The sequence below is a fragment of the Homo sapiens genome, chromosome 17 (assembly GCF_000001405.40).
Source record: "Homo sapiens chromosome 17, GRCh38.p14 Primary Assembly".
Taxonomy (NCBI): Eukaryota; Metazoa; Chordata; class Mammalia; order Primates; family Hominidae; genus Homo; species Homo sapiens.
The window spans coordinates 59943676-59964823 of NC_000017.11; the positions used below are offsets into that span (position 1 = coordinate 59943676).

Here is a 21148-nt window from a genome sequence, read left to right on the forward strand (position 1 = left end):
AGACCAGCCTGGCTAATATGGTGAAAACCCATCTCTACTAAAAATACAAAAATTAGCCAGGCATGATGGCTGTAGTCCCAGCTACTCGGGAGGCTGAGGCAGGAGAATCGCTTGAACCCGGGAGGAGGAGGTTGTAATGAGCTGAGATCACGCCCCTCACTGCACTCCAGCCTGGGCGACAGAGCTAGAATCCATCTCAAAAAAAAAAAAAAAATTATATATATATATATACACATATATATATATACACACATACATACACACACACATATAGTGACATCCCACTTATCTGGATAATGTGGTTCTAGCAACCTCATTTCAACAAATATTTTAATTCCTGTTGTAAGACCCCATCACAGAATTAGAGGAAATTCAAAGATGATTAAGGCACAGCCTGTACCTCTTGGTAGTTACAGCTTTAGTCCACCAGAACGTTTGTAAAATTATTCTCTGAAGTTCACATATAACTGTCACAAATCATATGCACTTCAGAATTGCACCTCACTCTTTGGGACTTCACTCAGAGCTTTGCTGAGTCTTATTTATTGTAACACATAATGCTTACTCATAGATTTTGATAAATAGAAGATAGGTGAAGATGGTTAAAAGAATGAACATTGACAGCTAGAGAAATGACAGCTGGTAGCCTAATAGTAAGATCCAAGAGAGAACTAAAATGAACAAAACTGCATTTTTGCCTATTACAACTGAAGGTTTTTGAAATGTTGATACTTATTCATCAAGAAAACACCAAATTCTAGCTGGGCAGAGATCACACGTGCCTATATAGTCACAGCTACTTGAGGGGCTGAGGTGGGAGAATAGCTTGGGTCCAGGAGTTTGAGGCTGCAGTGAGCTATGTTATCACCACTGCACTCCAGCCTGGGCAATATAGGGATACCCCATCTCTTAAAACAAAACAAAAAACGAATTCTGTCCAATCATTGGCGTAAAACCAGAAAGATCACAAGATCTGACTTTGATGCCAAGTCAGAAAATTGTTTTTACTTTGGTCTGATTATAAGAAACTGTTTTAGGGTGATAAACTTAATTGCTTATATGCCTGTGGCTAGAAACACTAGAAGTTTCTTTACATTTCTCCTAGTATTTAACATCTTTTTTTTTTTTTTTTTTAATTTTTGAGATGGAGTCTTACTCTGTTGCCCAGGCTAGAATGCAGTGGTGCGATCTCTGCTCACTGCAACCTCCACCTACCAGGTTCAAGTGATCCTCCTGCCTCAGCCTCCCGAGTAGCTGGGATTACAGGCGTGCACCACCATGCATGGTGGTGTATTTTTGTATTTTTAGTAGAGACGGTGTTTCACCACATTGGCCAGGCTGGTCTTTAACTCCTGACCTCAGGTGGTCTGCCCGCCTTGGCCTCCCAAAGTGCTGGGATGACAGGCGTGAGCCCCCGTGCCTGGGCGTATTTAACATCTTCATATGGAGCCTGAATTTTCCTGTTTTTTTTTCTATTCCTGTCAGTAGGGTAGAATTTTGTTTGCTAGCATATCAGGCTCAATGGAATTCTGCTTTCTTGAAGTGTGTGCCTCACGAAATGGCTGGAAAGAAGTTAACGGGTCTAAAAATGAGGTTGAGGACGTGGGAGAGTGTACACATTGGTGGTTTTAGGTGTGCATCATTGTGTAGGTATGTCAGACTGAACAACCCCATTCTCTTGAGATACATGACAAAATGCCATTCTGTAGTCCACTGTTACTGTCTTTCAGGGTTTTACATATGTGGCTCCATCTGTACTTGAAAGTGTGAAAGAAAAGTTTTCCTTTGAACCAAAAATCCGATCACCTCGAAGATTTATTGGCAGCCCACGAACACCTGTCAGGTATTTCACACTCTTATTTTCACTTTTTTTTGTTTTTAAACAACCTACAAGAGTGTTTGCTTAAGAAGTTTATGCCAAGTTATATAAATGAAAGACTGTCATACTCTCTTTGGTTGACATAAGCACAGCATCTATATCTTACATTGCAAAGGACTAGTCTGACTAATCTATGATGTTATATGGTTTACCTTCCCTCCCAAAAGTAAGCAGCCATACTGGCAAATGTCCTCTTTATCCATTCACTCAGCATTTATTGTGCACCAAGAGCACCAGCACTACATACTGCATGTTATGTGTGTGTATCTATATAGTACTATAATACAGGAATTGTCCCTGTCCTGATGAAGCTTACAATTTAGTGGGAAAGTCACAATAGACAAAGGATATACAAAAATATAATTACAAGTAGTGCAAAGTGCTATAATTTAAAAGGGGAAAAAAAGAATGTACTGGTAGAGAGCAGAGGAAAAACAAGGGGGCTTCTACTCACAGTGATCAGAGAAAGGCCTCCCTGGTGTAGTAACATCTAGCAGTGAACGGAAAGAGCCAGCCCTACAAAAATAGGAGGTATAAGAATGTTGCAGGCAGAAGAACAGCAAATGCAAAAACCCTGAGGGAGGAGAAAAGTTGCCCTTTTCCTGGAAGTGAAAGGGAAATCAGTGTTCCTGGAGTGTGTGGTGAGTGAGGAGAAGGGCAGAGGTTTGGAAAAGTATTTTATTTTAAATGCAATAGAAAGCTGTTTTGAGCAGGGGAGAGTAAAATGATATATATAATACGCATTTAAATGTATATATATCTCATTGAGGGTTTTGGGGGTCAGGTGTAGAGGTAAAGAGACCAGTTAGGAAATTCTAGCAGTTAATCTAGGTGGGGGAGAGATGGTTCAATTTTTGCCTTTGTGCTAATCCACGTGAAAATAAAATTAAATGAAAATAAATGTCATGTTACCCCACTCCCTTTAAACGTAAAGGAAATATGTCTTGTTGAGATGACCCTTAAGCAAATGAATGATAGCTCTTCCTTGTCTTAAAGCCCAGTCAAATTTTCTCCTGGGGATTTCTGGGGAAGAGGTGCTTCGGCCAGCACAGCAAATCCTCAGACACCTGTGGAATACCCAATGGAAACAAGTGGCATAGAGCAGATGGATGTGACAATGAGTGGGGAAGCATCGGCACCACTTCCAATACGACAGCCGAACTCTGGGCCATACAAAAAACAAGCTTTTCCCATGATCTCCAAACGGCCAGAGCACCTGCGTATGAATCTATGACAGAGCAATGCTTTTAATGAATTTAAGGCAAAAAAGGTGGAGAGGGAGATGTGTGAGCATCCTGCAAGGTGAAACGACTCAAAATGACAGTTTCAGAGAGTCAATGTCATTACATAGAACACTTCAGACACAGGAAAAATAAACGTGGATTTTAAAAAATCAATCAATGGTGCAAAAAAAAACTTAAAGCAAAATAGTATTGCTGAACTCTTAGGCACATCAATTAATTGATTCCTCGCGACATCTTCTCAACCTTATCAAGGATTTTCATGTTGATGACTCGAAACTGACAGTATTAAGGGTAGGATGTTGCTTCTGAATCACTGTTGAGTTCTGATTGTGTTGAAGAAGGGTTATCCTTTCATTAGGCAAAGTACAAAATTGCCTATAATACTTGCAACTAAGGACAAATTAGCATGCAAGCTTGGTCAAACTTTTTCCAGCAAAATGGAAGCAAAGACAAAAGAAACTTACCAATTGATGTTTTACGTGCAAACAACCTGAATCTTTTTTTTATATAAATATATATTTTTCAAATAGATTTTTGATTCAGCTCATTATGAAAAACATCCCAAACTTTAAAATGCGAAATTATTGGTTGGTGTGAAGAAAGCCAGACAACTTCTGTTTCTTCTCTTGGTGAAATAATAAAATGCAAATGAATCATTGTTAACCACAGCTGTGGCTCGTTTGAGGGATTGGGGTGGACCTGGGGTTTATTTTCAGTAACCCAGCTGCAATACCTGTCTGTAATATGAGAAAAAAAAAATGAATCTATTTAATCATTTCTACTTGCAGTACTGCTATGTGCTAAGCTTAACTGGAAGCCTTGGAATGGGCATAAGTTGTATGTCCTACATTTCATCATTGTCCCGGGCCTGCATTGCACTGGAAAAAAAAATCGCCACCTGTTCTTACACCAGTATTTGGTTCAAGACACCAAATGTCTTCAGCCCATGGCTGAAGAACAACAGAAGAGAGTCAGGATAAAAAATACATACTGTGGTCGGCAAGGTGAGGGAGATAGGGATATCCAGGGGAAGAGGGTGTTGCTGTGGCCCACTCTCTGTCTAATCTCTTTACAGCAAATTGGTAAGATTTTCAGTTTTACTTCTTTCTACTGTTTCTGCTGTCTACCTTCCTTATATTTTTTTCCTCAACAGTTTTAAAAAGAAAAAAAGGTCTATTTTTTTTTCTCCTATACTTGGGCTACATTTTTTGATTGTAAAAATATTTGATGGCCTTTTGATGAATGTCTTCCACAGTAAAGAAAACTTAGTGGCTTAATTTAGGAAACATGTTAACAGGACACTATGTTTTTGAAATTGTAACAAAATCTACATAAATGATTTACAGGTTAAAAGAATAAAAATAAAGGTAACTTTACCTTTCTTAAATATTTCCTGCCTTAAAGAGAGCATTTCCATGACTTTAGCTGGTGAAAGGGTTTAATATCTGCAGAGCTTTATAAAAATATATTTCAGTGCATACTGGTATAATAGATGATCATGCAGTTGCAGTTGAGTTGTATCACCTTTTTTGTTTGTCTTTTATAATGTCTTCAGTCTGAGTGTGCAAAGTCAATTTGTAATATTTTGCAACCCTAGGATTTTTTTAAATAGATGCTGCTTGCTATGTTTTCAAACCTTTTTGAGCCATAGGATCCAAGCCATAAAATTCTTTATGCATGTTGAATTCAGTCAGAAAAGAGCAAGGCTTTGCTTTTTGAAATTGCAACTCAAATGAGATGGGATGAAATCCTATGACAGTAAGCAAAAACAGAACCATGAAAAATGATTGGACATACACCTTTTCAATTGTGGCAATAATTGAAAGAATCGATAAAAGTTCATCTTTGGACAGAAAGCCTTTAAAAAAAAAATCACTCCCTCTTCCCCCTCCTCCCTTATTGCAGCAGCCTACTGAGAACTTTGACTGTTGCTGGTAAATTAGAAGCTACAATAATAATTAAGGGCAGAAATTATACTTAAAAAGTGCAGATCCTTGTTCTTTGACAATTTGTGATGTCTGAAAAAACAGAACCCGAAAAGCTATGGTGATATGTACAGGCATTATTTCAGACTGTAAATGGCTTGTGATACTCTTGATACTTGTTTTCAAATATGTTTACTAACTGTAGTGTTGACTGCCTGACCAAATTCCAGTGAAACTTATACACCAAAATATTCTTCCTAGGTCCTATTTGCTAGTAACATGAGCACTGTGATTGGCTGGCTATAACCACCCCAGTTAAACCATTTTCATAATTAGTAGTGCCAGCAATAGTGGCAAACACTGCAACTTTTCTGCATAAAAAGCATTAATTGCACAGCTACCATCCACACAAATACATAGTTTTTCTGACTTCACATTTATTAAGTGAAATTTATTTCCCATGCTGTGGAAAGTTTATTGAGAACTTGTTTCATAAATGGATATCCCTACTATGACTGTGAAAACATGTCAAGTGTCACATTAGTGTCACAGACAGAAAGCACACACCTATGCAATATGGCTTATCTATATTTATTTGTAAAAATCCAAGCATAGTTTAAAATATGATGTCGATATTACTAGTCTTGAGTTTCTAAGAGGGTTCTTTATGTTATACCAGGTAAGTGTATAAAAGAGATTAAGTGCTTTTTTTTCATCACTTGATTATTTTCTTTAAAATCAGCTATTACAGGATATTTTTTTATTTTATACATGCTGTTTTTTAATTAAAATATAATCACTGAAGTTTACTAATTTGATTTTATAAGGTTTGTAGCATTACAGAATAACTAAACTGGGATTTATAAACCAGCTGTGATTAACAATGTAAAGTATTAATTATTGAACTTTGAACCAGATTTTTAGGAAAATTATGTTCTTTTTCCCCCTTTATGGTCTTAACTAATTTGAATCCTTCAAGAAGGATTTTTCCATACTATTTTTTAAGATAGAAGATAATTTGTGGGCAGGGGTGGAGGATGCATGTATGATACTCCATAAATTCAACATTCTTTACTATAGGTAATGAATGATTATAAACAAGATGCATCTTAGATAGTATTAATATACTGAGCCTTGGATTATATATTTAATATAGGACCTATTTTGAATATTCAGTTAATCATATGGTTCCTAGCTTACAAGGGCTAGATCTAAGATTATTCCCATGAGAAATGTTGAATTTATGAAGAATAGATTTTAAGGCTTTGAAAATGGTTAATTTCTCAAAAACATCAATGTCCAAACATCTACCTTTTTTCATAGGAGTAGACACTAGCAAGCTGGACAAACTATCACAAAAGTATTTGTCACACATAACCTGTGGTCTGTTGCTGATTAATACAGTACTTTTTCTTGTGTGATTCTTAACATTATAGCACAAGTATTATCTCAGTGGATTATCCGGAATAACATCTGAAAGATGGGTTCATCTATGTTTGTGTTTGCTCTTTAAACTATTGTTTCTCCTATCCCAAGTTCGCTTTGCATCTATCAGTAAATAAAATTCTTCAGCTGCCTTATTAGGAGTGCTATGAGGGTAACACCTGTTCTGCTTTTCATCTTGTATTTAGTTGACTGTATTATTTGATTTCGGATTGAATGAATGTAAATAGAAATTAAATGCAAATTTGAATGAACATAAATAGAAGTGATTTATTTTTTTATTATCTTAAAGATAGGAAGGAATTAGTATACGTATCAGGTGTATAAATGGTTTAAATTTATTTTAACATGTCAGATGTGTTCAAGTTGTCATATAAATAAACTATGTATGTAAGGAATGGGTTAAAAGCTGTTCTGCTGAGAAACTGAAGCTATTTAAGTATATAACAAGTTTTAGTATTGATTTTTAAGTTAGATGTTACACATCTTTGATTTTCAAGTTATGTCAGATAGTAGATATGAATTGTTTACTTAAAAAAATACATGTAACAATCTACGTGAAAGCTAGCTTCATAAAAAACTCTAGGAAGACCTTCTTGTGCTAACAATCAACAATCTGTTCAGCTACACTTGGTCAGCTACATTTGATAATTTGATATGTATGCACAAAATAACGTAGTGAACAAATGTGTTTTAACTAATGTCTCAATATATCTAGTGTAAGCTGGGTATTTTGCATTAACCACTTCTTTTCTGTGAGGTAATTATACCACACTTGCCAAGGGGATTTCTCTACAGAAGCTCTCAAACTGATCTTACCTTGCTATACAACATAGTAGCCTATCAATACTGGTAAAACAATCTTTTAGAAGCCATGATCTGAATTCACAGAGTAAATGAGTTTCTGAATCTACATTACCTGTTTTTGAGGTGAAGGAATAGAGGGATGGAAGAAATGCTTCCAGTTCATCAGCATTTTTATTGGATGGCATAGCTCCATTAGATTTTCTCCCTTTTCAATTTATAGGTAAACTGCATTCCAAAAAAAAACCCCACCATGCACCTCCTTGGTTATGTAATCACATTCATTAAGAAACAGTGCTGTCTGAATAGTTACAGAGTAAGCAAATGTATTAAATAGGTATTCTAATAGGGCTGAAGTAAAATGCTATTCTTGTATTTGAACAGGAAGTCATCTTGGCTATCCTTCACAGCCGAATTGTAATCCCACATTGCTTTTCTCACCCATCCTCTGCCGTATACCTAAATAATACAACTATTAGCATCACCACAAAGCCATTTAAATAATATTTGTAGTGGGTCTCAAAGTAGATAACAGAGTAAAATATACTGTAATTGAATATAGTTGTACTTACAACCTGGTAGTATTTACCTGGAGAGAAAAAAATGGTACAGGCTTCCTAATGTTTGTTTGTCAATTTGGATGGCTGTACAGTCATGGAAGTGCCTTCTATAACCAGTTGGTCAGTTTGCTAAACTAAACAATTCATTTGCTAGTTTAGCTTTTGTCTTATCAGTACAGCAAATCTGTTTTCTACCTCTGCTTCCTAAGTTCTTTCTACCACCTTTTCCTCGACTACAAACTGATAGATGTACTCTAAACTTGGATATAAGCACTAGCAGCCCTTCAGACATGTTTTAGATTTCAGATTCCTCCTTAGAGGTAACAAGGGGAGAAAGTGCTTCATTCTCTTTTCTAGCACCCTGCACAAATACCTAGAGGCGAACAAACCACACTATCAAAACCTCATGACCACCTCTCAGTGCGAGCTTCAATCTTCCAATTGATGGTGATTCAAGCATAAAATTCCAAAACTTTTATGGAGAAGACTAATTATAAGGGCAATTTTTTATAAGATTTTAGGGCATCTGTCTTGAAACTTTTTTCTTTTAAATAGAGATGGGATGTTGCCCAGGCTGGTCTTGAACTCCTGGGTTCAAGCAGTCCTCCTGCCTCTGCCTCCCAAAGTGCTGGGATTACAGGTGTGAGCCACCATGCCTGGCCATTTGTCTTGTTTTCTATACTATTCAAATCATCAAGTAAGCCAGCTGTTTATAATCCACATGAATTATTTTAATAGTTACTTCGAGATACTCCATGGTACTATACAAAAAGCATGATCATGAACATTAAAGCTGATGGCAGGAAGAATTTATGACGTCCAGAGACAAAATGAATTTAAATCATTTATTTTCACTTATTACTAATCTTACTACAGAGAATAATACAATACTATAATGTATCATCCTCAGTAAATTAATCTTCACTTAGAAAATGTTACTGATAAAATACAACATTTAGAATTTTCATTTAAAAATACAAATTTTATGAAAATATTAAGAATTTTTAGGATGGGAATTATAAAAGTCAATGCTGAACAAAATTCTACTTTTAGATAGTATGTATCTTAAAATATTATGAAAAATATTCTTTATTCTGAAAACAATGTCAGGAAAGAATACCTGAGTTCTCTAAAACCACTAGTTCTAATTTCAAATTGCTGTTTTGGTAACATAAAGAAAACACATTTACAATTTAACACTGCAGTTACCTGTCAAATAATTAGAATAGAATAAATGTTGCATATACATTAGGTTGAACATTATATATATTTTAAAACACAGGGTGGTTTCATTTAATCTTTTGGTGAATTGGATCATAAGTCCTACATTCTAAAACCATCTGGAAACATTTTTCTGGTAGCCCTGAAAATCCATTCTGATGCCTTATCAGTAGTCATTATGACCAAATGACATTAGTATTTTGTGGCCTTGATAGTTTATACAACTTAATATATTTGAAGGTGTGATGAAGTGGCTCCATCCTTCCATTTGTTTATATGGTCTGAAATCACAGTTCTGCAGAGTGGACATGTTTTCTCTCTGTTAAACCATAAGGTCATGCACTCTTCACAAAATATATGCTGTAATGGAATTAAGAATTAGATTTGATATTTGATAATCATTTTAAATCCATCACATTGTAGGGAATGAAAGGGATTCTTTTTTTTTTTTTTTTGAGATGGAGACTGAAGTCTTGCTCTGTCACCCAGGCCGGAGTGCAATGGCACCATCTCGGCTCACTGCAACCTCCGCCCCCGACTGGTTCAAGTGATTCTCCTGCCTCAGCCTCCCAAGTTGCCGGGATTACAGGTGACCACCACCACCATGCCCAGCTAGTTTTTTTATTTTTAGTAGAGACAGGGTTTCACCATGTTGGTCAGGCTGGTCTTGAACTCCTGACCTCAGGTGATCCACCCACCTCAGCCTCCCAAAGTTCTGGGATTACAGGCGTGAGCCACTGTGTCCAGCCTGAAAGGGATTTTGAAGAGCACTAATCCCCTCATTTTACAATTGTGAAAATGGAGAACGTATGAGACATTCAAGAAGACAAAGAGCAGTATGATTGGTAGAGCCACTAGTGTTCTGGCTGTACCATCCATTTAACCATAAAAGCTATCCTTAGGTGACACCTTTAAGATTAAGTATGATAACTGCTTAAGGTCTTTGAGTTACTAGTAACTGCCATAAAGTATAGGAAAGGGCCACAATCCAGTAACAAATGTCAGTATTGTTCTACATGGCTAGTATCCAATTATAAAATAGCCTGTTTTTTAATCACTTTGGTATTCAATCTGCCAGTTGAATTATTTTTTCCCCTTCATACGCTCCTCTGCATAAAAATTATCAGAACATAAGGGACAAAACTTAGCCAATCCACTAGTATGTACCCTGAATGCTACCTTCCACTAAACACTAGATTTTTTTTTTTTTGCCTTACAGCAAACATAAATTTGACTTTTGCAAGTCACAGAGAACTGTTGTATTTAGGTTTTTAAATTTAAAAATGTAATTACCTGACAAATGAGAAGAATTGGCTTCTGAAATTCAGCTTGACATATTGAACAAATATCATCCACATCTGAACACTGTCTCTTGCTGGCAGCCACTCCATAACTCTATGAAGATAGTAAGTTCTGTTCATCTACAAATTTCTTTCTTTCCTGTTCCTCAAATTACATAAGTAATGCTGTACTTCTCAAATCTCCCTGGAACCAGGCATTTGAAAAACTTCCCAAAGGATACAAACATCTCAAAGCTGAGCCATATACAGAACCACCTCTTGAGTGCACCAAAATGAAATCATTAAATAATACATAATAGGATTTTGAAAGATTGTTAGATCTACTAGCTTTACAAAGGATGATAGTGCTTCAAATTCAACATAACTGGCTTAAGAGACTAAGCAATCTGAAATGTAACTATTATAAAATCTATAGCCATGTATTATTTGACCCAGGACTGCCAAATTGAGCTTATTACCTGCAGCAGTGGTTCATAAAGTCAATCCAGCCAGAGGTTGGCTGGTTGAATGTAACTCATGTGGAAAGCTTGCTTTAAAAATAGATTTCTCTGTTCCACACAATATCAATTCACTAGGACCAGACATATTGGGATGTGACCCAGTAATCTATTATTTGAAAGGTCTCCAAGTGAGTGCAATATGAAGAAGACTTAGGGACCACTGAAGAATTTTCTGCCACTAGGTCTAAAAATTATTCGAAATTATAAAAAGCATTTAGTGCTAAACATAAAAAAGTTTTACGGAGAAACTGCAACTGTAAATGTCGCTTTGGTAGAATAACTACTGTCAAAACTAACTGAACAAAAATGCAATTATTTGAATTTTCTTCTCTTCTAATGTCCTAATAACAAGTTACTCGTCTCTAAGATTTTAACCTCCTCACCAGATTCAGAACTTAGTCATTAACTAGATGTGATGTCAATAACCCTCAGTGAAATTTGGAGAAATCAAAATGTTACAAATGAAACCTGCTTTCTGTAGAAATGATGGGGAAGAGGTAACTAAAGAGATGTAAGAACACCCAAGTCAGTCACGGTCATGAGGGTAAAGCATGACTTAACATAGCTGAAGTTATCTAAACTTCTTGTACTAAAACGTCTCAGGCTAACAACATCAAAATCAAAGTAAAACTCAAAGGATAAAGATATTAAAAATTGAGGTTTTTTGAAACTGGTAATAAAGATTTCAGAAATAAGTCAGGATACTGTTAGATGATCTTGGTGTCAATTTCCCTTCAGTAAGGTGTCATTTAGCAAAGTACATTTGCAGATAATTATGCTGACAAGCTTTTAAGACGTTACTCATCTGGCATCTTGGAGACTCCCTCTCCAGATAGTAACTGCCATTTCCCTGGTAAAGGAGACTTGAACAAATCCAAGTATTGATGACTGATATCCTCTCTGTAGTTTGTCTCAGAGAAAGAATATCAGGGTATTTTCTTGAGAGTATTTCGGCACAAATCTTACAAGACCAATTATAGTAAAATGGTTGATGCTCACATAATCATCAGTTGAACTGACTTGGACAAAGCTGAACTCTCTGAATTTTATTATGTCTTGTCTAGAGAAACAAGCTTGCATAGGATGTAGCAAAGTTTGTTTCTACATTGCTAACTCTATCTTAGGGAAAAGGCCCTGGCCAGTTAGTCTCGTTTACTTTGTAGACATAATTCTTTTTTTATTTTTACGGTATATTATTCGGTTGGCATTCTTTTAAGTCAGTCTCCTTGGGCCCTGATGAAATGACTGCAAAATTGAGAATCAAACCCTGAAGTCTGCTGACCACACATAGGTACTAGGAACCTTTCAGGCTACTAAGTGGTAAATTAGGGTTCTCTATGACATCCTTTCACTGCAATTTGCAACATCAATAGAATCACACAATAATGTTATAAATGACACCAGAGACTCAATTAATTGTTAAATTTCATGCCATGAACGTATTTATGCACATATAATTGAGCAATGGGGAAATCTGCTCCAGTAAGAAAACTGCAAGAGACATGATTTTTGGCAGTGAGCTTTCTAAACAATAAATTACAATGGAAGGATTTTCACAGGTGAATAAGGAGTTAATAGGAACAAACAAAGCCCCCATTTGTGGATTAAAAAAGAGGAACACAATTTCATAAGATTGTTAAGGGTTTACAAGCCTTAAAAATGTCCAGTGGATTGAAGAGGCAAGAGACAAGTTCAAATATATAAGCACTGCAACAATTAGCAGGTGGTTGTCAATGTGTGATTCAAGAATCTGATCACAGAGATAAAACTCCTAAATTATTATAGCCCCAAGTGCCAAAGTACTAGAAAATAATCAAAGTAAAAGAAAAGGATCATCTATTTATGAAATCCATTCTTGTAAAACTGCTGAACTAAAAAAATTTTTGCAGTGAAGAAAGGTGAAGGTGTTTTTCTTAACTGATAAAAAGTACTTACTGGTTGTGTAAAAAATATTCGTAAAACCTGTCTGAAAGTTCTCAGATGCCCAAAAAATTCCAAAAGCTGAAAAGAGAAATAAGAGATCATTTATTAATTCAAACAGTCCTATTTGCTAAACCCAAAAACCAAAGCTGAAATCCCATAACATCAAATCCTCATATTAACTTAATGTTCATTATATGTCACATCTAATCATTTTGTGCTGAGTATTTTATTCAATTTATAGATTTGAGCCATCTCAGCAAGCTGAAGTACATTTAAACACCTAGAGTAACAATTTGATCAAGACAAATACAACTATGTCAAAGTCAAAGCAATTTTATCTGATTCACCTGTTTTTAACATTTAGATTTTAAAGTTTCATAAAGTGATTATTAGGTTGAGGGGTGCAGGCATGGAGAGAACAGGACAAGATACTCTACTAGTTTAAGAATTATGTGTATGACAATGTTACTGTTGAGGATGGGTATGTTCTATTCCACTTGTTTTCCCTACTTAGATAATCCACGCTATGTGAAGGTCGACTCCCCTTCCCTCCAGTGAAACCTGAGGACCGCTGGATTAAGATAGTCTATTTCCGTTTCTCCATTTCTAAACAAATATAGAACCTGCTATTACTTCAAACTAGTGATATGAAGATAAACTATAAAACTGTTAAAAGAGGAAAACAGTAGTATGTATCAGTAATCATTAATGTGAATCATGCAGTGACAAGATTTGTAATGTTACCTACTTTTAATATGAGGTAGAGTAAAGCCAGCAGTATCCCAAGACTCCATCTAGTTACGTTACCAAACTCCCCATAGCTTATAAGGTAGCGAAACCAAACTGGTATGGGAACAAAAGTTCGGTAGTATTGACACAATTCTTCTAAAAGCATATACCAGTAACCCTAAAAAATAAGAAGAAAACAAATAGAGCTACCCAAACTACTTAACTACATAGCACAAACAATATTAGACTGAGAACACTGAGTATATTATACAATAATATAAATAACTATAAAATTAATCTTCATAATGATTATGACTGAACCTCAAGCTGGTTCTCACATATTACAGTCACTGAGTGGCCTGCTTTGAAAGAATTTCTAGGTTGGACGCAGTGGCTCCCAGCACTTTGGGATGGGCAGATCACCTGAGGTCAGGAGTTCGAGACCAGCTGGCCAACATGGTGAAACCCCGTCTCTACTAAAAATACAAAAATTAACTGGGTGTGGTGGTGGGCACCTGTAATCCCAGCTACTCAGGAGGCTGAGGCAGGAGAACTGCCTGAACCCAGGAGGCGGAGGTTGCAGTGAGCCAAGATCACACCACTGCACTCCAGCCTGGGCAACAGAGCGAGAGACAATCTCAAAACAAAACAAAACCAAAAAAAAAGATACAATGAGAATGTTTTATGTATACTGCAAGTAAAACCTATGTGAGTATGTTTTTGCTGATTATAAGAATTTAAAAGTTTTTAGTGCATATGGGAAACCACTGAATAATTGTACATAGTCAACTGTCAATTGATAATGCCCTGGAGAACAGAAGTACACATCTAAATAGTTTCCCACATATGATGTGGGGACTGATTTTAAAATTATTCTGAAGCAAATATAATTCTGATTTTATCCAAATAGGTTAATAATCAGGTTCAAGTGCCTGAACAAATGGTTGCTAAGCTGAAATAATACAGATAATTAAGCTAGTTAGCAAACTGAAAAACTGCAAAAGGAGGATTCATTTAAACAAAGACTAAATAGCATTAATGTGATTCGATAACATCACTCCAATAAAGCATAAGTGAGTTTCTTACCTTAGATTTAAAAGGCATGATGAAAGAAGGCACCAATAAAATAAGGCATTTTAAGCCCATGAAAAAGAATTTCAGAATGAAGTCTGTAATTCCAACAATCCAAAATACTTCCCAGAAGCTCAAATGGTCCAAAGTAGGATTTAAAAAAATTAAGCTACCAAAAGAAAAACATCAAAATTTATCAGAGCAACATACAAAGATAAAGTATTAATAAAGGGTTTTAATTTGCTACAAATATTTTATTTTGATATGTAAAAAATATGAGTTTGGCAGGATGTCAGAGTTCACAATAATGGAATGGAGGATCATTTTGCTTAAAGAGACTTTTTAAACCTGTTTGGATTTTAGATCTTCCCTTCATAGAATAAGGAAAAAGTCTTCACGGTTTGTCATAGTTGACACCTTTCTAGCCTGTAAATGAAAAAAACTCATCAATACCAGACATCTGCTGTGTTTTTCTTAACCAATTCCAATCAGGATTCCATCTCTTCCTTTCAATGAATTGCTTGTCAAGATCATCAACTCCCTCTGTATGGCTAAATTTCAAGGTCACTCTCTTTTTCCATCTTCCCTCCCTGAATAATTTTCTTTCTAGACTTTTAACACAACACTTTTCTATTTCTCATATTTCACTGCTGGTTTCTTCTTAGTCTCCTTTGCTGTTTCTCTTCTAATTGTGGTCATGTCCAGTACTGGGCTCTCTATCTACACTCTCTTTCCTGGGTTAGTTTTGTCCAGTCCTGTGGTTTTTAAATATCAACCATATGCTCCTGATACCAAAATTTATTGCCTTAACCTCTACCCTGAGTTCATGACATATATTTGGAACCACTTTCTTATCAATTCTACTTAGCCTCTCAAACTTAACATGTTCAAAACAAAATTATTGATTTTTCTCCTCAAAATCAGTTCCTTCCTCAACCCAATGAAATGACACCACCATCCAGCCAGCTGCTTAGACTAAAAACCCAGAGGTCATTCTTGCTTCTCTCCACCCACCTATCCAATCCAGTCCATCTGAGGGATACTGGCTCCACCTCCAAACTATATCCCAGATTTGCCCATCTCTCCAACTCCAGTGAAACCAGGTCTTCTAATATTCTAATAAAAGCTGAAAATTCAGAATACTCCCATTTGACATGGAGACTTATCAGCTACTGTCATTTAGTAAGTGTTCTTACTTTCAGAAACAACGACCAATAATAACAACCTAATGGTACTTTAAAAATACGAAATATGTAAACAAAAACTCAGGTATCAAAAAATTAAATATTTATTGAGCATCTGTTATGTGCCAAGGCACTGGGGATACAAAATCTGAGTAAGTCACTTAAAGCTCTCACTTATGAGGCTGGGTGCAGTGGCTCACACCTGTAATCCCAGCACTTTAGGAGGTGGAGGCAGGCAGATCACGAGGTCAGGAGGTCTGACCAACATGGTGAAACTCCGTCTCTATTAAAAATACAAAAATTTGCCAGGCGTGGTGGCGTGTGCCTGTAATCCCAGCTACTCAGGAGGCTTAGACGGGAGAATTGCTTGAACCTGAGAGGCAAAGGTTGCAGTGAGCCAAGATCAAGACACTGCACTCCAGGCTGGGCGAGAGAGTGAGACTCCGTCTCAAAAAGAAAAAAAAAAAAAAAGCTCTCGCTTATGAAAGGAGAAAGTTAAAAACTGAACTGAACTGAATACAATAAGTACTATGTGAAGTAAGATACAAAGTGCTATGAAATATATGATTACATTAAAAATGTAATTGTGTATTTGGACCTCTAATTACCTGTAATAAAGTGACTGAGAATGAAAGGTGTAATATAAAAGAACAGAAGATCCTGCTAAGAATACCAGTAACCAAGCACACTGAATCTTTGAGGACCTTTCCTGAAAGATAAACAATTTTATAATGTTACTTTGATTTTGCCAGAATTTTAAATATCATTAAACTGTTTTACTTTAATGACTATTAACTTAGAATATTTTTCTAAATCTTAATATAGAATATGTTAAACTGTACATAATCATCACAGTTACTGTTTTATACTACTTTAGTGACCAAACAGAACTCTTATATTAAACAAATGTTTAAAATACAAGTTTCTTCACTGTATGAAAAACATTACCTATGTTTCAAAGAAGCCAAGTCTTCTCTCAAAAAAAAAAAAAAAAAAAGAAAATTAAATTAAATTAAAAAAAAAAAAAAGAAGCCAGGTCTTCTACAAGCTGACATAAAGGACCCACCCAGGACGGGGGCAGTGGCTCACACTTGTAATCCCAGCACTTTGGGAGGCCAAGGTCGGCGGATCGCTTGAGGTCAGGAGTTTGTGACCAGCCTGCCCAACATGGTGAAACCTGTCTCTACTAAAAAAAGTACAAAAGTTAGCCAGGCGCCGTGGCACGTGCCTGTAATCCCAGCTACTCAGGAGGCTGAGGCACGAGAATCACTTGAACCCAGGAGGCAGAGGTTGCAGTGAGCCAAGATCACGCCACTGCACTCCAGCCCGGGTGACAGAGCAAAACACCGTCTCAGAAAAAAAATGGACCCACCCACAAAAGAAAATTTCAAAATGCATTTTAACCTTGACTCACTTGTCAAGGTTTATATTTTTTAAATTCTCAGATTATAAGAATTTAATAAATTAATGTTTTAATCTCACTTTTTTAATATATGGGGTCTCGACACATTGCTCAGAATTCCTAGGCTCAAGCATTCTTCCCAACTCAGCCTCCCAAGTAGTTGTAATCTCCCTTTTTTTTTTTTTACTTTTTTGAGACTGGGTCTCACTCTTTCACCCAGACTGGAGTGCAGTGGCATGATCACAACTCACTGCAGCCCCAACCACCTGGGGTCAGGCAATCCTCCCACCTCAGCCTCCCAGATAGCAGAGATTACAGGCACGTGCCACCACGCCCAGCTAATTTTTTGTATTTTTTGTAGAGATGGGGTTTTGCCATGTTGCCCAGGCTCGTCTTCAATTCCTGGGCTCAAGCAATCTGCCCATCTCAGCCTCCCAAAGTGCTGAGATTACAGGCATGAGCCACTGTGCCTTGCCTGTAATCTCACTTTTAAAGTCAAGTTTAATGAAGTTTTACTAATTTTAAATCATTAAGATTTTTCTAGTTTGATAGGTTTAACTATAAATTTCCAGGTCAGAATGCATGATACTTTACACAGACATAGCCATTTAAAGTTGCCTTAAGGTGAAATTTTAGAAACTCATCCTCTTTTTCCCAATGATTTATATGACGGGCTCGTGTAACTTATGTTATGGAAAAATTCCTTGGGTTTCATTTTCTCTCTTTTTTTTTTTGAGATGGAGTCTCACTCTGTCGCCAGGCTGGAGTGCAGTGGCACAATCTTGGCTCACTGCAACCTCTGCCTCCCGGGTTCAAGCAATTCTCCTGCCTCAGCCTCCCAAGTAGCTGGGACTACAGGCAAGCGCCACCACGCCCAGCTAATTTTTGTGTTTTTAGTAGACATGGGGTTTCACCACATTGGCCAGGCTGGTCTCAAACTTCTGACCTCAGGTGATCTGCCTGCCTGGGCCTCCCAGAGTGTTGGGATGACAGGCGTGAGCCCCTGTGCCTGGCCCAGGTCTTTTTTTTTTTTTTTTTTTTTGAGATGGAGTCTCGTTCTGTAGCCCACGCTGGAGTGCAGTGGTGCGATCTCAGCTCACTGCAACCTCCACCTCCCAGGTTCAAGTGATTCTCCTGCCTCAGCCTCCCGAGTAGCTGGGAATACAGGCACATGCCACCACACCTAGCTAATTTTTTGTATTTTTAGTAGAGACAGGGTTTCACCGTGTTAGCCAGGATGGTCTCAATCTCCTGACCTCATGATCTGCCCGCCTCGGCCTCCCAAAGTGCTGGGATTACAGGTGTGAGCCACCATGCCCAGCCACTAAAAGTTTTTCATGATGATGGTCTTACTTACTATGGTCAAAGTAACTGATACAACATGAAGGGACTTGCCAAATCAGATCAGATACCGTGTTCTAACTCTTTTAATCCTTTTTACTACTTTAACAGTAACCAATTTTTTTTTCTTACAAAGAAGGTAAGGTGAAGGAATTCAGCATTAGGAGAGATAATTTATTCCAGGATTTAGATAACAAATTTAACATAACGTGGATGTTACAATATATCCTATTACTTCCTATTTCTTTCAAGTTATTTCCTATTTCTCTCAAAATTATTTCTCTAAAATCTATGGAGAGAAACAGTTAATAATTTTTTAGTTGCTTGTTATACTTACTCTTAGAAAAACCTGATTTACAATGCTTTTGTTTGCATACATAAAAGTTGTTAGCAGCCCAATTCCAAGAGAAATTCCTGTTAGAAAATAAGTTCCAGTTAATTGAAAGAAAAAAAAATCAAAGAGGATTATATAAGCTAACAATGACACAAATTAAAAATAAACATATACAATAATAAAAGCTCACAGAAAATAAGTAACTGGATGCATTAAGTAGATTACCAATAATGAAAGAAAATTAACTGAATTTAGGAATGAAAACAAGTCAATGTTTTATTATGTCCTACCTGTTATATGCTGCATAACAAGTTTGACGCTCAGAATCAAAATATATGGAAGACTTTTTTGCAGCCACTTGAAGAGATAGCGGAATTCTGAGAAGGAGCTACTACCATGATCTCCAGATTCTGCGGCAGTATCATCAGTCAGCCTTGCTTCACTGTGGGAGTGACCCCGTAAGCGACTGTGTACACATCCATGGGCACAGCTATGGACACCTGACCTTATATTTCTGGAGCTTGCATTTTCTGCACATTCTTTAGGTATGGAGTTTATCTGGATATGAACATCTCCAGAATGAGGGCAAGAACCCTCTCCTGTCAATCTTGTGTGGACACACTGAGGGGTTGAGGCATCCTCACTGCTTCCAGTTCCTGGAGGACTGTGCAGTTGGCTACGATTGGCTTGCATGGCCCTTAAATACTTTTTCTCTGACCCAGATGTCTTTGCTTCAGGCCTCTGTCTCCTAAAAAATCAAATAAAAGATATTCTAAGTAAACAGGCAGTTAAATACCAGCAGTATATTCCTCACTGGGTATCCTTTATTCACTAAAGGAGTAGCAAATAATCACAACAGATGAATTTTCAGGTTATTTATCACTGGACTCCTCCCTTCTCCCTTAATGCCAAGGCTCTGCTGCCCTACACAAATGATCTTTTAGGGAACATTTGCACCAAAAAAAAAAAAGTTGAGCTGCAAATGCTTCCAGTTCTCTAATGGCAGAAGGCATCCGCAAAACAGTCATGAAGTATGGGTACCCAGCAGATGTTAATGAGCACCAGTCCTCACTGGGTACTCTGGTACATTTACTTTTCCCAAATGGTGCAGTTTCATCTCTGATGTAGATTCTACATCAAAGAAGTTTCATAAGGAAGAGTGAGCCAGTATTTTTTAATGGTTGGAAATGTTAGGAAAAAAAACAACATTAAATCTTAATGCCTTATTATCATCATAGGTAACTAATAATAAACACTGCACTTAGGTGACCTACAAATTAGATTTTCTGCTCAAGCAGCTTTCCCAAAGCTCATAAAGTTTCCAATAATTAATGGTGCCACCAATAATATTACCTCCCCGCGCAAAAGAATGTTACCTAAATACATTTAAAGCATAGATACTTTGGAGAGTCACCACGTAATTGCTAGGTAACTCTTTAGTCTGAATAAGCAGTTACACAGTCCGCCCAATAAAATGCCACCGTCGGTGGTGTGTGTATTACGGAGGGAGGGGTGTGAGGAAAGAGGACTCTAGCAGAGAAAGATCTCTCTAATAAATGATCCAGTGTGGACCTCCTAGAAACAGAAGAACAGAGTCGGAATCCCAGCTGACAAAACGCAGAGGCTATCCCACACTGCCGTGCTTTTCCCGTTTGTCTAGGAGGAGGCTAGAGTTAACGTCAGGGAATGTTCTGTGTCATTCTATTTCACTCCCAGGACTGAACAGTGGTGCAGTCACCGTGTCTGGCGGTTTGGGTTTCAGTGCTTTTCACTAAAGGCTTTCACCGAGGCCCCGACGCCACGGGTGTTATTTCGTCAAAACTGAAGAGCGACGTTGGACAGCAGGCTTTCAGTGTCTTTTCTATAAATAACATAGAACCCTCCCACTTTCCTTCATGCACAGACAAGAAAGAGGAGAAAAAAGGGAAGAAAATTCAACACAACTCTTCCGGAATCTCCGAGGGCAGAGTTCTCCACCCACGTCCGAGCCTCGAGTGCCTATTCTCCCCAGAGCCCCCTGCGCCGCGGCCCCTCGCCGCCTCCTCCTCTGCCCGCTTCCCCCAGGCCTAACCTCTCATGACCAGAAGCGGACGGAGGTGTCGGGAGCGACAGCAAGAACAGCGGCATACACCGCCTCCAGCCCTTCAGTCGGGGCCATCAACCGCAAACCCCGCAAGCTCTTCTCTCAGCCCGGCGGCAACGGCGGCGGCGCGCGCGCTCCCCGGACGTTCTCACGCGCGCGCGCGCGCCCTGCCCCGGCTCCACCTCCTAGCCCCGCCCCCGCACC

The 21148-nt window shown here is 37.6% G+C and overlaps 2 protein-coding genes and 1 pseudogene across 26 annotated transcripts in view, besides 1 other annotated feature; 1 reads left to right on the top strand and 2 right to left on the bottom strand.

Moving 5' to 3' along the window:
• RPS6KB1 (ribosomal protein S6 kinase B1) overlaps window positions 1-6899 on the top strand; it is a 57454-nt gene extending 50555 nt beyond the window's left edge. For 23 of the 24 annotated variants that reach the window (NR_161456.1, NR_161461.1, NR_161462.1 and 20 more), the window contains 2 exons: window positions 1731-1843; window positions 2876-6899. Coding sequence is in view for 9 of the 24 variants with exons in the window: in NM_001369670.1 (NP_001356599.1) it covers window positions 1731-1843; window positions 2876-3113 (351 nt within the window). In the remaining 15 variants the exon portion in view is untranslated. The remainder of the gene's footprint in view (window positions 1-1730; window positions 1844-2875) is intronic. The other variant, NM_001272043.2, reaches the window with a different exon arrangement.
• On the bottom strand, window positions 8565-21065 carry RNFT1 (ring finger protein, transmembrane 1). Its single transcript, NM_016125.4, has 9 exons — window positions 20933-21065; window positions 19152-19609; window positions 18865-18941; window positions 16393-16493; window positions 14616-14769; window positions 13549-13707; window positions 12813-12878; window positions 10370-10471; window positions 8565-9436 (listed from the first exon to the last, which is right to left on the bottom strand). The coding sequence occupies exons 1-9, from the start codon at window positions 20986-20988 to the stop codon at window positions 9302-9304; spliced, it is 1308 nt and encodes a 435-aa protein (NP_057209.3). The 5' UTR covers window positions 20989-21065; the 3' UTR covers window positions 8565-9301.
• The window catches only part of TBC1D3P1-DHX40P1 (TBC1D3P1-DHX40P1 readthrough, transcribed pseudogene), a 56690-nt pseudogene continuing 54229 nt past the window's right edge, over window positions 18688-21148 (bottom strand). Inside the window, exons 13-14 of the transcript NR_002924.3 lie at window positions 19152-19609; window positions 18688-18941 (exon numbers count right to left, since the gene is read on the bottom strand). The product of NR_002924.3 is annotated as a TBC1D3P1-DHX40P1 readthrough, transcribed pseudogene (transcript). The remainder of the gene's footprint in view (window positions 18942-19151; window positions 19610-21148) is intronic.
• Window positions 21006-21135: a silencer, noted in NCBI's record as "silent region_8785". NCBI's record gives its function as "represses an Ori minimal core promoter by ATAC-STARR-seq in GM12878 lymphoblastoid cells {active_cell/tissue: GM12878}" and the evidence as "EXISTENCE:reporter gene assay evidence [ECO:0000049][PMID:35858748]".